This window comes from Homo sapiens, chromosome 7, assembly GCF_000001405.40.
Source record: "Homo sapiens chromosome 7, GRCh38.p14 Primary Assembly".
In the NCBI taxonomy this organism is placed as follows: domain Eukaryota; kingdom Metazoa; phylum Chordata; class Mammalia; order Primates; family Hominidae; genus Homo; species Homo sapiens.
The window spans coordinates 115,296,705-115,300,428 of record NC_000007.14 but is presented as its reverse complement, the minus strand read 5'-3'; the positions used below and the strand labels follow the sequence as shown (position 1 = coordinate 115,300,428).

The 3,724-nt window shown below is 37.6% G+C and overlaps 1 annotated feature.

Annotated features, from left to right (window-relative positions):
* Positions 222 to 946: an enhancer, noted in NCBI's record as "OCT4-NANOG hESC enhancer chr7:114939537-114940261 (GRCh37/hg19 assembly coordinates)". NCBI's record gives its function as "activates a minimal SCP1, AML or CMV promoter by ChIP-STARR-seq in naive H9 embryonic stem cells {active_cell/tissue: H9 hESC(naive)}" and the evidence as "EXISTENCE:reporter gene assay evidence [ECO:0000049][PMID:30033119]".

The window sequence follows — 3,724 nt, the reverse complement described above, 5'->3', positions numbered from 1 at the left end:
CGTTTGTTTTATTCATGATAAACAGATCATTTAGATGGAAAATCCCATCTGCTTAGATATATCTCTTATTATTTATGAGAACCATGTTTAGGAATGCAGGCAGCACATGTGCATAATTAATCCTGAAGAGAATTAGACATTGTTTGATTCACAGCTGAATGCAATTAGCATTAGGAAGTTTACATATGTTGGCAATAACACAGATTAGCAACTAAAGTGCTTGTTAAAAAATTTAACCTGAGGCTGCTGGATCAGACCTCTCTTAATGATGCTTTAAATGTTGTTGATGAAGTAATAATCAATTTTGTTTTATAAATAGTAAACCAAGAATTTAGGTCTAATTAACAGTGCTACAGATCACTTCACTTACATATCAGATGTACTTGTGATATGTACTATGAACTTTCTTTGAATCTCATGTGCAAACAGTTGTTATGGAGCAGACATGATCCTTTCTAGAAAAAAAAAATTCTATTTTCTAGCTAGGGAAGGGTGACTATCTGCCTTTCAGAAGGACTCATCTAGAGGCGTTTAGCATGAGAATTCTGTCTTTGTCTCTTTGCTGCTTTTAATTGTGGGAGAAACAACGTCCTCTCCTTCACAAGCAGAGCCATTAGCCAGCTTACAGACTGTGAAACAGAGTCATCTAATGGGGAGGGAGGAGAGAATGGAAATGATGAAAATGAGGCCAAAAGTAAAATTGAGCTGTAATTGTTTGCACTTCAACTTTGAGAAGTTCACCATTAATTAAAATGTTTCTGCATCACTCACCACCAGACTGGCAAGAAGGAGGTAAGGCTGTGAGAGAGGCAGCCCTGGTGCCTTTCAGAAAGCAAGCAAGGCCTTTTAGCAAATATCTCCAGTACACAACTGCAGCAGAATCACGGGGAGGCAGTCAGGCACATTCTCCTGTGACATTACTCACGCAGCCCTTATTTGTGTTTTTGACTTTTCCTGTGCCTCATTATAAATTAGCATTATACATTTTCAGAATCGATGGGAATAGAGATGCCATTTATTCGGGAAACATTTACCACATTTCATAGAGTCTAAGTCTCACATTTATTTTTTCATACTTTAGCATCTCTGAAATGTAAGATGCAGTGATAACCATCTCAGAGTTAATTGGCAATATTTTTTCTTTAGTACATAAATAATGATAACAGCATCTTAGATCCAATTATTAGTCCATTATTATTAAATATATAATTCTTAAATATTAAGTTAAATAATATTACATATTATTAGATATTACTCAGTTATCATAAATGCCTTTTCTGTGCCAACTAGCGTGCTAGGGATGAGGAATAAATGAGAAGATATAATATGATGTGAGAAAGGTTATAATAAAGGTATGTACAAACAGAATGCTTGCAACTGAAACTGCAGAAACTTCATTTACTTGGGGCTCAACAGGTATGTGCACATGAGATTTTGTAACAGGTCTGTCCATTTATAAAGAGTCATCATGATAGTGACTTTTGAGTGATAAGCAATGACAGCAGACAATTCTAGAATGGAAGCTCTATGTGGGCAGGAACTTTTTAACTATTTGTTCACTGCTGAGCTCTCAACACTGAGAACCATGCTTGGCACATAGAAGTCACTCAGTAACTCCCTGTCGAATGAAAGAAGCCGCCCGTCCAGGAGTCAGCAATCTAGCCTGCCCATCTGTTTACTTATACCCTGTAAGCAAAGATAGTTTTTACATTTCTAAATGGTTGGGGAAAAAATCAAGGGAGGAATAATATTTCATGACATAGTAAAATTACATAAAATTCAAATTCCCTTATCTATAAATTTTATTGGCACACATCCACATCTTTTCATTTGCATTTTGCCTGCGGCTATTTTCTTGTTACAACATCAGGGTTGAGTAGTTGTAAAAGGAACCTCGTGGCCCACAAATCCGAAAATAGCCAGATAGTAATGGCTGGCCATTTACAGAAAGTTTGCTGATCACTGGACTATGCTGTTGTCAGAGTGGCTATCATGAGATTATGTTCAATTCAGTTGTTCTCTGCCCTCACCAATTCCGTCACCATGGAATCCCCTACTGCTCCTCATCCCACTGGACCCAGAAACTTCTATACCATCACTGATAACATACATGATGATACAGAAGAAAACCCAATCCTAGGCCCCCCCAAAACCCCTTAAAATTGTCCCTTGACCCTCATAAAATTAAATTAATTTTGGCTCTCTTGGTAGAAATGCATAAGCTGAATTGTATATATTAAAGCTTAATGATAATACCTCCTGGTAATGATCAAATTTGGTACAACTTTAATCCATTTGGCTTCTATCCAAGAAGACCCATTAGAGAAAGAAAGTACCAGCTGAATTTCATTATAAAAATACTTTATATGTTATGTGTTCCTGAGACATGAACCCAGAGAGTGTTATGCTTTTAATTAAAGATTATCAGTTTGAAAAATCCCCTTCTCTTTCCCATCTGCTCTGTGCTAGTTGATTTCACTTGTCCACTAGGAGTTGAGTGACTACAAAAGAATCACAAAGTATTGGCAGATGGGCAGGGAGCCAGCACAGTCTGAGGGTGTCTGAGATCACAGCTATGTTGCCAATGAATCAGCAGTTCACACATAGTTCCACTGGATCCTGGTACAGTCACTGACAGTATGTAAAATGCAGCCTTCAATGGGGAGGAATGTAGGCACTGATAGAGAAAGCCTATGCATTTATTCTAAGGTTCTGAGTTATCTTCCTGCCTTCTCATCAGCAGAATCTGCTAGAAACAGGAGTTAATTTTTCTGCTTGCAAATGGAGGCACAAACTATTCCATTATTATTAACTCACTAATCTCTAGGCACCATGAGGATAGGGGCCAATTCCATCTTTTTCATGGCTCTTTGTATCCCCATCATAGGGGGATATAGCATAGTGTAGTGCTAAGCCAATATATCTTTCTTGACTAAAGAGATATCCCACACAGGCATTAGTATAGCTGGGTTTCCTTATAACTCTTTGCATCATGCAATTCTTTGCTATCTCTAGACAATATTTTGATATTATGGAGTCTTTTTTAATGCAGAGATAGATATAAATGTGTGGGAAAAAACTCCTTCAAAAAGTAAATGGGAGGGGGAAAGGGACAGTTGGGTAAAAAAATAATAAGAATCCAAGGTAATGTTACTCACTGGCCACTAGCTTATCGTCCATTATTATTCCAGTATAAATTAGTAAGATCAGCATTCACTAAGAACATAGAGAAAAAACAGGATTGCAAAAACCTTTAAAGATTTGAATCAAGTATCAAAATATAGGGAATAGGGTACTGCCAACAGGCCAAATCTACAGTCCTTTATTGGGAAACTATTGAGTAAACAAAAGGCACTTGAAAGGAGATGCTAAAACTGAGAAGAGAGCTTGTTTCAGAGAGTACTAAGACCCCAGTATTCATTTCCCCCTTTAGTCTTTTCATTACTCGCGTGCGCGCGCGCGCACACACACACACACACACACACACAGTTTTAGCAAAAACAATCCAACTTGCTAGATATTTTCTAGCTTTATATTTTCTTTCTTTGTTGTTAAGTGTGACCATATGTCTAAATTCTGGCCAAGGTGAGGTAGGCAGAGATGATATTTGCAAATTCTAAATCATCCCCTTAAAGGAAGCTGCTTATCCTCCAGCACGTCTTTCTCCTTCTTGTGTGCAAGAAAAAGGGCACAGTGCTGGCAATCTGATGTATTAGTCTGCAAG